Source organism: Homo sapiens, chromosome 3, assembly GCF_000001405.40.
Source record: "Homo sapiens chromosome 3, GRCh38.p14 Primary Assembly".
NCBI lineage: Eukaryota > Metazoa > Chordata > Mammalia > Primates > Hominidae > Homo > Homo sapiens.
Window position 1 is genome coordinate 70,246,678 of NC_000003.12, and position 13,594 is coordinate 70,260,271.

The window sequence follows — 13,594 nt, forward strand, 5'->3', positions numbered from 1 at the left end:
ACAATACTAAAAAAAATTATGGGCACTCTATATTTAATCTGGCAATCCAAACTACGAAAGCAAGACTTTGTGTATTCTTTATAAAGTAGACTATCATTGGTATAAAAAACATTTTTAGAGGGAAAAAAACCCAATAGACCTTTATTTTTTGTCACCCTTAAAACAACCCTACCATCTTAAATATTTGTAAATATGTTTTCTTCTTCACAAAATAGAAATAATATTATATTTAGACATGACTCTTTTTTCAATAATTCGTAATTATAGGTTCTGGATGGAATATTCATGAACAATACAAGGCTCAGGGCATATCATAATAATCAGTGAGTGGTCGCCTATCTGTTTCCATGACTACCACGAAGGATAGTTATTTTTTTTTCTTTAGTTTATTTTCCTGAATGCCAATCATAGTACCAAGCGCATGGTAGAAGATCAATTCATGTTGCTTGAATGAATTTATTCTTGGCCATTGGATTGATTTTTCTCCTTTTTTCTAACTTTGGATGACTTCCCTGTGTTTTCAGACATAATGGTAGTTTTACCTCCATGGTTTTATTTCCATTTTGAGATATTCTTCAGCAGATGCAAGGTGAAATTTGACACCTTCCTATCAGTAAGTTATAGGCTGTGTTTCTCTGGCAGTATTTCTTACAAGGATGAAAACAGAGGAGTTCTGAATGGTTAATGCGGAGAGAGTTAGTGAATAATTTTTTTAAAGCCCACCAGGAAGGTTGTATAACAGAAAGTTAACTGTGCTCTTGAGCACTTCATATGTATTCTTTATCATATAATATATATTATCTATTATATGAATTAGTTGAAAATTTTCTAGAGGAGTTTAAACATATAGGATTTTTCTATATTATACCAATTTTTTGATCACATATCAATGCCACAACTCAATTCTATTAGAATTTTAATATATAACATTATATCTCTTTTAATCTTCAGAATTTATGACTCTAATAGCACAAGGTAACTATTTTTATCCCAATCATCATTATCATTGGTTTTGTTTCTACTGTATACATGCTATGAGCATTTGCCAATGCAATATAAAGCAAGTGGGACCAAGGTAAAAAAAGAGAGTGAGACAGAGCCTAAAGGAAGATTCAAGGTTTCAAACACACAAAATAGGGTTATGGTCATTAAAAAAAATAGATATAAAAATATTCATGAAGCACTAAAATAATATCATAAGTTATTTTTTATAAGTTTCTGTTTTCTGTAGTAAAGAGATGTGTATTCTTTTAGATGAGATCAATCATTACATTCACAAATAAAGTAGAATTTAATGCTACAATGATCAAAATAAAAGTCTAAACAGGTCAATTCGATCCATCTTTGTAGTATTTGAAGGGTAGGAAGGAGAATGGTAAAGGAGATAGGCTAACATTTATTGAGTATGTATTAAATTCAGACACTGTGCTAGACAATGAGAGTAATGAACCATATTATTCTCTGTCCTGAAGTCTCTGACTCACAGTCTAATAGGACAGAAACATGAGTAAGTAAATAATTGCAAAGCATTGTAGTTATGTGCTATAAAAACATAGTATATTGTATAGATATGATCTTACGTAGAATATTATCAACTTTCTAAATAGATTGCAGGAATGTCTTCACTGGAGAAATAATGTTCCACCTCTGAAGGAGTTTATAAATGGAGAAAAAATTTTGAAAAGCATGTTATATTGAGAGCAAAATTGCCAAAAAGTGTTGGGTTATGAAGCAGAATTAGAAGCACACTGGTTTGAACTGGAGTGTAGGGTTCAGGGTAGAAAGAATGCCAGGAAATGGAACTTGAAAAGTAGGCATAGCTCAGAACTTGGAGGCTCATATATTAAACAAAGGAGAATTTAAAACAGGGAAAATACATAGTCAAATTTAGAAAGAGAATGTTGGCAGCAGATTGGAAGGGACAAGATTGGATTAGAAGAGCAATATTTAGGCTTTTACAATCAACAGTAAAGACAGGAGTTAATTAAAGCTTAAACAAGATGTTAATTTGCCATTGGAAATGGACAGAATAACCAGATTCAAGAGTTAGTGAACAAAAGAACTCAACAGCTCAACATATTGGAAAATGGTGATTAACCTGGTTAATATAAAACAAGATAGTATTGAGTAGGCTACCATGTGTGATATGTTTGCCAGTGGTGGCCTACATGACTCAATTGAAAGGAAATCAATTGAAAGGACTCACTGGATGGTAAATCTACTTACCAGGAAATGGGCTAAGAAGCTTTAAGACATTATTCCAATTGACAACTTCACTGTCATTTTATTTCCTAGGGAGTTCTATCCCATTCGGCTAAAGAATTGGAAGCTCAGAGATATTATCGTAAGTTCACAGTGCTAGGAAATGAGGAAGTGGAGGTCCCTACTCAAGTCCTTCTAACCACAAAGTCCCTGATCTTTTCTTTAAGGTGTGCTTCCTGAGGTTGACTTCAGATCGATGTGGATGTACACTTGGACCAAGTTCTACATTAGGAACACTTTAAGTGATTGATCTAGAGGTATGAAGTGAATCAAGAGCTTTGTGTCCTTAATATTTACTAACCGGTTTGAAGGGACAGAACTGGATTCATTCATTCATTCACAATTTATGTAGTGCCTTCTTTCTGATGGAAGTTATAATGTGAATTTGGAGCTACCTCAGGCTTCAGTGTCTAAGGGGGGGATCTATCATATTGTGCAAATATGAGCATTGATTGGAATGCAATTTAGGAGACAACTAACAGATACTACCATTGCTGTGACCTCTGCATCATAAGAAAAATAAATAAGCAGGATACAATTTCAATTTTTCCCTCACATCTTTCTCTTTCTGATTAATCATCCTTTCCCCTCTCTCTTTTATGCCTGCCCCTTTAGGTCTAAGTAAATTTTTTTTCTTAAAATATATCATTGCAGGTGCCCCTGCTGTGAAAATGGAAAGAAATGTAATGTTTTGGTCATGGGAGAGCTGCCAATTCCACAGTACCAGCACAGTGAGAGTCATCCTTCATTTATTTCCCGCCTTCCCCTTTTTCGGATGTTGATGAGACATTAGTATGGCGCGAAGCCTGTTTGCTCCTTGCTGCATTTATTTTGTTAAGATTAGAGTTGCTAAGATACGGTAGTTATTTCAAATTGTAACCACTGATGCCAGTGGTCATAAAATAAGATGCTGAAATTCCTTTATTTGCTAACGTTAATAAAAAAATTCTTGAGGGGGCAAGAGAATTTTCTGGCAAAAAAGGAACAGTACTCCAAGTGGCCTCTGTTATAGCACATAATTAGATCCACTAGCCTAGCTGGTGTTGAGCTATTTTGGTGTAAAATCTAGAGAGAAGTTCTGGCTTCGAGTTGTTTATTAAGTTATTCTTTTAAAATAAAGGGTGTGGTCAGGTTGTGCAAATTTTACATCCCTTCTTCTATTTAGTTGTTTAAGCCAGGGGATTTTTTAGCCTGTTGCTAGTTATTCTTCTCTGTTCAATAAATATTGTGAAGGATTTGGAGTTTTTAACACTTTCTCACAACTTCTTGAGTTGGGCCTCTTAATTCTTCTCATCTTGTGCTGCTGAAGCACCAAATCTCTCACGTTCTATTGATTAATTCTACTCTCTTAGGATATAATTTGTAACTTGTAATTTTACTATTGCCAGCGACATTTTTTAGGTAATTGAGAAGTCATGCCCTGTGTTTTTATTGTTATTGACAATATTCGGTATTTTTCTTTTAATGAATCTCACACACACACACACACACACACACACACACACACACACAAACACAAACCTCAGAATGATTTCCAACGAGATGTAAATCAACTCCAGGACATTTCTTTGAGCTTTTAGATAAATATTTTCAACTAATACTTAAAAGAAAAACCATTAAACTATTCGGGTGGAAAAATAGTCTCTGAGCAGCCAGTTTGGCAAAGGTTTGTTCAGCGAATGTGTGTAATTTCAAATTACGCTGTGTTTTTATTTCACAAAAATTTCCAGCTTCCCTAGAACACTTCAAATACTAATATCCAGAGTTTCCACTGGCAATTCTTTTGTTTGTCCTGGAAGCATCTTGCAATTTGGGACTAAGAAAATATTGTGTTCTCTTTGGATTTACAGACATAAACATATGCATTTCTTCTTCAGCACACAGTTCTTTTCAGGGAAAGCCAGGTTGAATGGGCAGACTGTCAAATAGTAAGAAGGCTTCATCAAAAATATATAGTACATTTGGCTGAAAAAAATGGTCTCCAATAAAATTTAATCTATTTAGAGAAAGACAAACTATTAAGTAATGACATCCCAATGTGATTTGATTAAAAGTAATATTTTGTGAAATCACCATTTAAACGCCTTTCCAGAGAGACTTAGAGAATATGCTGTACACGGTTGAATCGTATTCATTAAACCAAACTCGTAATACCCAGTGGAGCCTTATTGTACAACAGGCCTGTGGTTAATTGTAATTCCATTAGAGAAATTGCAAAAAGGTGGTTTCTGCCCACATCTTTGGAGACAGAGCTACTCCTCAGGTTCTGTGGTTATTACTGTCTCAGAATTTTGAGATGCCAATGCTTTGTAGAGTTTCATTTCTAATATCTGAGTTCTTAGAACTCAATGTCCAGAAAGTAAAGTGATTTACTGCAGTCTTCAGTCTTCATTTTCTATGTTCATTGTTCACCTATGCCATAATAGGGGGACTATCTGATTTTTTTATCTGACTATGCATCCCAAGATTTAAGGTTACAGATATATCAGGTATCTGTCTACTGGCATAATAGTGGGTATATATTAGATCAATGTATTGGTCTACACTTTTTCATTCCCTTAAATAGTATTTTATAGGCATAGCCTTGCTCTGGCCTCATGATGGTGGAGTGTACATTCCTGCTCCTTTCTGGAAGGCTTAGTGGCTTGACTTGGCCAACATAAACAATATGATGACAGCAATATACCTGCAAATTTAGGTTCTGCTTTTGCATTGAGAATATTATAATATTGCCATTACTTTTAATGGCAAAACCCGCAATTACTTTTGCCCCAACCTAATACCATACCTAAGTAGTTGCTCGTCTAAGGAAGATGAGGAACCTGTAGAACGGACCTAGGCACACCTGCAGCTTTGAGTCAAACCCTACTGCACCTGATTCAGATTAGCCAAACTGCAGCTGACTCATAGATAAGCAAGAAAGAAATAAATGCTTGTTGTTATTTGCCATTGAAATTTGGGATGTCTTGTTACACTGTAATTATGGCAATATTTAACCAATACAGTGTGCCAATTTTACTTCCTTAACTGTCTTCAAAACACGTGTTAAGGAACTAAAATTGAAGGCAAAACAAGTGCCTTCAATTCTGCATATGTGAGGAGGCAAAAGGAGTTTCTCCTGTTATTATTAAGTCTTTCAATTCTAAGCTAGCTCTGAAGCTGCAGCTTGAATTCAGCTCATATAGATCTGAAAAGTTTTAATAAAGTTATGAGTCATGTGTAATTGACCAATGTCCTGAACCTGTTACTTGGCAAAATTGAACAAAATGGGGGAATTCTGCAAACCCATAGTTTCAGTGGAATTCTTATCCAATGTATGACTTAGGCTTAAAGTATATGTATCGTATGCTGTGATTTTCCATTGGTGTATGGTGTGGCGTACAATTCTCCCATAAGCCTTTCATAGGTGTCACCCCATTTGCTTCAGTGTATGACTTTTTTAGACAATTGGGTGTTGGGGAGTGGGTCTTAACTGAGGACATAAACTATTGTGGTAATAACTGTCGATGGATTATGGAGTCAAGTGGTTCAATTAAGATGGGTCAGAGAGAATAATAAGTTACAAACGTGATTCAAGGTTACAATTGCAAAAGCTAAGTGAGGCTAGGCAAACAATATAAATCAATAAAGTGGGCCAGATAACAGGAATGAGATATCCATGGTAAACCGGAGAAGATGTGCCCCATTTATAGGAGGTAACTATTTGGTTCCAACTAATTTCATCATTCAGGCACTGTATTGCCCTATGTTTATTTATTTATTTTTTTAAATTGAATGCCTCTACATGTCAGGAACTGGTTCTGTGGATACATCAGTGAACAAAACAAACTAAACCATTAAAAAGAAAATCAAAAAGAAGGCCAGGCGCGGTGGCTCATGCCTGTAATCCCAGCACTTTGGGAGGCTGAGGCAGGCAGATCACCTGAGGTCAGGAGTTCGAGACCAGCGTGGCCAACATCGTGAAACCCCCTCTCTACTAAAAATACAAAAATTAGCCGGCTGTGGTGGCAGGCGCCTGTAATTCCAGCTACTAGGGAGGCTGAGGCAAGAGAATCGCTTGAACCCAGTAGGTGGAGGTTGCAGTGAGCTGAGATCACACCATTGTACTCCAGCCTGGGGGACAAGAGTGAGACTTTGCTCAAAGAAAAAAAAAATCGAAGAGAAACTAATACCTAAAATAAAAAAGTATTTTGGATTGTGATAAGTGCTAAAGAGAAAAATATACAGCAGGTGAGTGAGATACAACATTTTGGAAAATATGGTAGGGTCAGTCCTTACTGAGAAGGTGCCTTTTAGTGAAGTCCTGAAAGAAGTAATAGAGGGAGCCATGTGGATAGGGAAGACCATTTTATTTATGGGGAATGGGAAGTGCAAGGATACAGAGGCAGGGGTGTGCATGGAGTCCAAGGTGGGGGATAAATGTGCAAGGGGCTGAGTGGATAAAGTAGAGAGTGGATGAAGAGTTGTAGAATACCAGAGCCTTGGCTGCTTTCGGTGGGGCACCTTATTTCCACATTGAAAATGTTTCATCCAGCTGGGCACAGTGGCTCATGCCTGTCATCCCAGCACTTTGGGAGGCCAAGATAGGAAGCCTGAGCAACATAGCAAGACCTCACCTACAACATACAAAATAATTAGCCAGGTGTGGTGATGCACCTCTGTAGTCCTAGCTAGTCAAGAGGCTAAGGCAGGAGGATGGCTTGAGCCCAGGAGTTCAATGCTGCAGTGAGCTATGATAACACCACTGTACTGCAGCCTGGGCTACAGTGCAAAACCCCAACTCTAAAAAAAGTAAAAATACAAATAAAAAAAGAAAATATTTTATCCAGATGTTGAAATCTGAACATAAATACTCAATAAGACTATACCATAACCCATTTAGAAAGATGTGAAACTCTTGTATTAAATAAGCTTAAGTGAAAAAAATTCTGTTCCTGGAGATAAAACTTTTTAAACATACTAAAAATGTATAATCTCTTTTAAAAACAAAACAAAGTCCAGAAGCTTTCCTAGTATGCTCTGTGGCATAATATAGCTAGCTCAGAAGATTCAAAAAAAGGGTTAACAAATGCAGAGATAAGACTAATTATGAATCTGTACAGTTTGATTCAGATAACAGTTATTTAGTAGGCATATTTATATTTTTAATATTCTTTTCAGAGCATTAAAATTTTTTGGTAATTGTACATAACAAAACCCAGTTCCAATTACACAAAAAAAATTGTATGCTAACTAGTAATGATAAAACATTAGTGTCAATTGCATGATTTTAACAGCTGTGAAGTCTGCATTTGAATTCTGTTAAGTTTAATGGATAAATTAAAGTCATATTTTAAGACTACTTAAGGGATTCTTTTTTCAAAAAATCTCAACCCCAAACATTCTAAAATTGCATATTTTTATTCAATCCATGCAATTATTCTCAATTATTATTTTGTTTTGTACAAGTTGTACATTATTATAAACAGATGTGAGCATGAACTGAAATAACATGATCCATTTTAGACACAAAGGGCGTAAAAGAAAAATAGACCTTCTTTTGGGCTTTCCTTCCACTAAACTTTGGGGAAAATTAGTTTTCACTTAGAGAGCTTTTGGAACAATAAATACAAATCTATTTTCCCTAATGGTGAGGTGGCAGAGGTTATCATACTTAGCAAACCAAAAGTGGAAAACAATTTTCCACTATGAAATCAGGGACTACCTAGAAGTTTACTATTTAAGTTTATCACAGTGGTAGATAATCTTTTTCTTAAGATTATAAAATGAAAAGCAGAAGTTCTGTCATGACGCACTCTACTCAATAGAGATATTCTATCACCTCTCCATAGTAACTAAACAGTTGGTAGCTTCTTGTGCATTCTTCTATACAAGATTTATGCATACATGTCTTTATTTATGCATCCCTTATTTCTGTTTAAAAAACTGAGAGCATATTATATAAAATTGTCATTGTATTTCCTTTTCCGACTGTAACATTCCTCTGTAATGGTTTCCTAATATTCCTATTATGAATGTGCAATAATGTATTTGACCAGTAATAGACTGATGGACATTTAGATTGTTCCTTATAATTTTACAACAATACTTTTTGAAATGAGTGGAAAATCAGCTTGAGAAAGAGAGAAACGCAGGTAAAACCTGTGGAACAATTGAAAGTTCAACTAATGAAACAGTGAACTAGTGGAATTCTTAAACCATGCTGCTCCTTTGGTATCAAAGAAGTTAATTTGATTTATGTTGTCTAAAAAAAGAAAAGTAAAAACTTAAAATATTAGTAAACTATAAGATGAATAGTAGCTTAGTGGACCAATGACACATAAATTTTTGTAAAACAAAACTTCTATGAAAAAACATACATACTGTGATTTTATAGTCAGTAAAAGTGCAGAAATAAAAGGACCAAAGAAGAGGCTTGGCTGTTCTTGACATTTGGTTCATAATAAGTAGATATGGAATAAGCATTTTGGTTCTGTGATTCAGTAATTTTTTTTTCTTCTTTATTTTAGAGACAGAATCTTGCTCTGTTGCCCAGGCAGTGGTATGAGCACAGTTAACTGCAGCCTTGACCACCTGGGCTCAAGTGATCCTCCTGCCTCAGTCCTGCAGCCTCAGTCCTCCTGCCTCAGTCCTCCTGCCTCCTAGTCCTGCAGCTAGGACTGCAGGCATGCACCACCAAGCCTGGCTATTTTTTTTTCCTGTGGAGGTGGGGTCTCATTATGTTGCACAGGCTGGTCTTGAACTGCTGGGCTCAAGTATTCCCTCAACTTTGGCCTCTCAAGGGGAGGATTACAGGTATGATCCCCCGTACCCAGCCAGGGGGCTATTTTTCAACTGCAGCTTATGTGCCCTCTGAACATTAGGAATTGGGAAATGATCAATGCACACCAATTGATGGAAGCCTCCATAACTTTAGAAAATGCTTTAACTTCTTGTTTAGGTGCAAACTGTGTGGATCCTGAGCATTTACAGGAAAAAAATTCTAATTACAGGGAGAATTGGTAAACTTTTTACAACACGTAATTGAAAATCAAGATCTACCCACTTTTCTTTCTCCACTGGCATTGAACCAGTTTATAGGTGTAATAGTACCACCCCAAATTATTTTTTTGATACACATAGTAACAATATACTTAGAAATTCAGGGTTTTAGGTAATGGAGCAAGAACTAACAAGGTCAAATGATTTTATCTATTGCTTTCCCCATGGTTACGAATGACTCTTTAAGATGGATCCTTTTTATTCAGAGGGAAACATTAAAACTTTAGTTGTAAAGTTTTTGTTTCTAATAAAAATGAAGCCACTTTCTGGGAATCAAGATGACACCTTTGTTGTGGATTTTCTAAGTCAGACAGAGAGAAATGTACTCGTTATGTGAAAGACATAGTTTGGCCTTTTTAGCAATCTTCCCTATGATGATCTATTATATAAACTAATCTCTAAGATTCCTTTAAAATGCCATGCTGACTGTAAACTGCAATTAATAAAAGCTTATGCTCTCAATTCTAATTTAAGGAGGTATATTAACTCTTTGAGGGTCTCAGGACCTCATTTAGTTCATTTAGTTCTTCTTAAGTGCCATGTATTGAAACCCTAGTGACTTTAAAGAAATTAATACAATATTGGAAAACCTATGCTATGCCACTTGCTGCTCCATCAGTAAATAATGGGAAAGTAAAGTAAATAATGGGAAAGGAAATCCTCAAGCCATGAGATGCGTCCCTCCTTCCCTCCTTTTCTAGCAGTATGGGGAAGCAATGGAAAGGGTCAGATGGCATTACTGGCCTTCTAGGTCATTCTAACTGTCAGGAAGTCCCCTATTAATCATTTACTTCCAAGTTAAGAGTTCTCTAAACATATGTAATATACTAATACTGGAATGCAAAGTAGATGGGCTGTTTCACCTATGTCTGCAACTAGAAGCTTAAATAAACTTCTGTAGATGGATGCTTGGGATTTCAGCACATGTTCTCACTTCCCTGGGAAATGGATTATAATTGGTCCACCCTGTGAAGCACAAGGAAAAGCCCGACTATGGGCTGAGCGAAGGAGAGGAGGGCAAGTCCAGTGGTGGAGAGAATATCATAATAATTCAGAGATCTGATGGCGAAAAGCAGGATTAGAGCATAGACCATGAAAAATGAGAGAGGATATTTATATACTGTTTAAAGCCAGCGCTACTTTTCTAGAAAATGATTTGATAATACATGTCATGATTATCATAGGAAATTTTGTGAACTATACATTTGGTCTTCCCTATACTTGGGACAGGTTTCTTTGGCAAACCCTTCCCCATTCCTTAAAACCTGGCACATCTGGCCATTCAAAAAAGTTCAAGAATAGACTTCTTTGGTAATTTGGTAATGGAGATATTGGGGAAGAATCTTCCCTTTTTGGATCATGGGTTTTAAGGAATTAGGTTTAGGAATGTCAGTAGCCATCATTTCTTTTGCAGAGAACCTGTTCATGGCAGGAGAGAATGTGGCCAAGAAGCAAAGAAGAATCACAAATGAGCAGAGCTGTAAGATGGACAAAGAGAGGAAGGGAGGAAGGGAAAGAAGGGAAGAAGGAAGGAAGGGAGGGAGAACTGGAAAATCAATTAGAGGAAGATACGCTTTGCAATGCCATCAAAACCCATGAAATACTGAGGAAGAGATTTAAGGAAGTATATGTGAGGCCTGAACACTAAAAGCTATGAAACATTGCTTAGAGAAGTTAAAGACTACCTAAATTAATGGAGATACATACTTTATTCATGCATCGGAAGACTCAATACTGTTAGCATGACAATCCTCTGCCAAATGACTTATGTATTCAGTGCAATCCCAATAAAAATCCCAGCAGCAGGCATGTGTAGAAATGCAATAGATCTAGGTAAGCCTTAACCATTTTGAAACAGAACACAACAGAAAGGCTTTTACTATTTGATTTCCAAAGTTGCAATAAAGCTATAATAATCATGACAGCATGGTATTGGTGTAAGGATAGACATATACATCAATAAGACTCAATGAAGAGTTCGGAAATAAAGCTATGTAACTATGGTCAATTGATTTTTGACAAAGATGTCAAGGTAATTAAATGGGGGAAATGGAGAGTCTTTTCATTAGATGGTGCTAGAAGAACATCTGGATATTCATAAGGAAAAGTTAAATGAATCCCAACTTTCATTTCACATCATAGACAAAAAAATTAATTTGAAATGGATCATCGATCTAAATGTAAGGCAAAAACTATCATGTTCTAGAATAAAATATAGGAGAAAATATTTGCAACTTTGAGCAATAGGGTGGGCAACAATTTCTTAGATCAGACACCAAAAGCATGAGCCATAAAACTTAATAAATTGGCTTTCATCAAAATTATAAATCTTTGCTCTTTGAAAAATACCATCAAGAAAATAAAAAGCGAGCATATATGAAGAGAATATTTACAGTTCATTTATTGGAAAAATAACTTCAATTGAGAATACAGAAATATGTATTTACAGAGAGAGAGAGAGAGATTTACTTACATTGTTACAACCTCTGGGTTCAACCGAAACTGAAGATAGATCCATTTCTAGACTATCCAGTCACATGAGCTAGTAGAGTCTCATTTTTTTAAGTTAGTATGATCTGAATTTCTATCCATTGTAAACAGGGAATACTGATTGGCACAATCTTTTAAAATATTCATATGCTCTGACTTAGCTCTCACACTACTGGAAATTTATAGAAAGTAAAAAGAAACTATGCAGTCAAAGCTTTATGTATAAGAATGTGAATTGAAGCATGTTTTTAATAGCGAAAACTTTAAAATTATAAAAATAACAAACAATAGGGAAATGGAACCTTGCAAAAAGTGTTATTTAGCCAATAAAATATAACCATAGAAGGAGGCACACAAAAACGCTGAGAGCAGGTGATGACCCTATGATTGAATTTTTCTTTAATTTTTTAAATTAAATTAAATTTTTCTTCAATTTCTTTAATTTTTTCACAGTGAATCTCTTATTTTTATCATTGAAATTTAAATATATATTTGAAAAACTGCTAAAAAGATAAAGAAGGGTGCAAGATATATAATAAAGGTACTCAAGTTAGTGCTAATTAGAGAAAGATACAGTTGATGTGCTTATCAGGTCAGTTTGCTCATTGAAATTATACGGTACCTCCTGCTAGCACTCAGTTTATATTCTGAATGTCTCAGGATGGCAGACAAGGCCCTTTTTCATATGTGGTCCTTTTTCCAGTTACAACCTGAGCTCTAGCCATTTCCCAGAACACATTCTATTCATAGTCTATGCTAAAAACCTACAAGAAAGAGGTAAGAGTTGGAATTTCACATTACTTTGGGAGAAAACTGACATTTATCCATTTAAAGAAAGTAAGCACCATCTTTTGACTCCAGCTCTTTAGAGGATCTAAAGTGACCTTGATAGACAGTGGAAGAAATCACAACATGGAATTCCTTGAATAAAAATTTATTGACTTTTAAAAAAAAAAAAGAAAGAAAGTAAGCACCAAACCTCACACCCAGGTCTGGGAGGTAGCACGCAAGCACTTGAAGGGCAGGGAGTCTGTCTGCTCTATTCATGGCTGTTTCAGAAATCAGAGCCATGCAGGGCTTTCTGGATTACCCCTCTGTGAAATATTTTTAATTTACTCCTCCAAATTCACTTTCTGCTTTCTTTTAACCATCTCTACACCCTGAAAGTCTGACGTGTAAGGTCTTCATCAGTGGGCTCCCATATTAGTTTCCCATGGCTACTGTAACAAAGTGCCACAAACTGGGTGGCATAAAATAACAGAAATGTATTGTTGTATTAGTCTGTTTTCATACCGGTATAAAAACTGACCGAGACTGGGTCATTTATAAAGGAAAGAGGTTTGATTGACTCACAGTTCAGCACAGCTGGGGAGGTCTCAGGAAACTTACAATCATGGTGGAAGGTGGAGGGGAAGCAAGGCACCTTCTTCACAAGGAAGCAGGAAGGAGAAGTGCCAAGTGAAGGGGAAAGGGGCACTTATAAAACCATCAGATCTCATGAGAACCCACTCACTATCACGAGAACAGCGTGATCCAATTACCTCTATCTGATCTCTCCCTTGACACATGGGGATTATAGGTTATAATTCAAGATGAGATTTGGGTGGGGACACAAAACCCAACCATATCAATTGGCTTACAGTTCTAAAGGCTAGAATCTGAAATCAAGGTGTCGGCAGAGCCATGTTCCCTCTGAAACATCCTGCCCTCTTCCTAACTTCTAGTGGTTTGCCAGCAATCACAGGCATTCCTTAGTTTGCAGCTGCCTAACTCCAATCTCTGCCTTTGTCATCGTACGGCA

At 36.1% G+C, this 13,594-nt stretch overlaps 1 protein-coding gene and 1 long non-coding RNA gene across 5 annotated transcripts in view; one reads left to right on the forward strand and one right to left on the reverse strand.

Moving 5' to 3' along the window:
* Window positions 1–13,594, forward strand: part of SAMMSON (survival associated mitochondrial melanoma specific oncogenic non-coding RNA) — a 435,002-nt gene that overhangs the window by 247,090 nt on the left and 174,318 nt on the right. The window contains exons 5-7 of one of the 3 annotated variants that reach the window (NR_186032.1): window positions 2,296–2,344; window positions 2,430–2,519; window positions 2,917–2,993. The exons of 1 other annotated variant lie outside the window; for it this stretch is intronic. This is a non-coding gene — a long non-coding RNA (survival associated mitochondrial melanoma specific oncogenic non-coding RNA). The remainder of the gene's footprint in view (window positions 1–2,295; window positions 2,345–2,429; window positions 2,520–2,916; window positions 2,994–13,594) is intronic. One more of the 3 variants, NR_186030.1, reaches the window with a different exon arrangement.
* Window positions 1–13,594, reverse strand: part of MDFIC2 (MyoD family inhibitor domain containing 2) — a 118,160-nt gene that overhangs the window by 52,199 nt on the left and 52,367 nt on the right. The gene's annotated exons all lie outside the window — the stretch shown is intronic.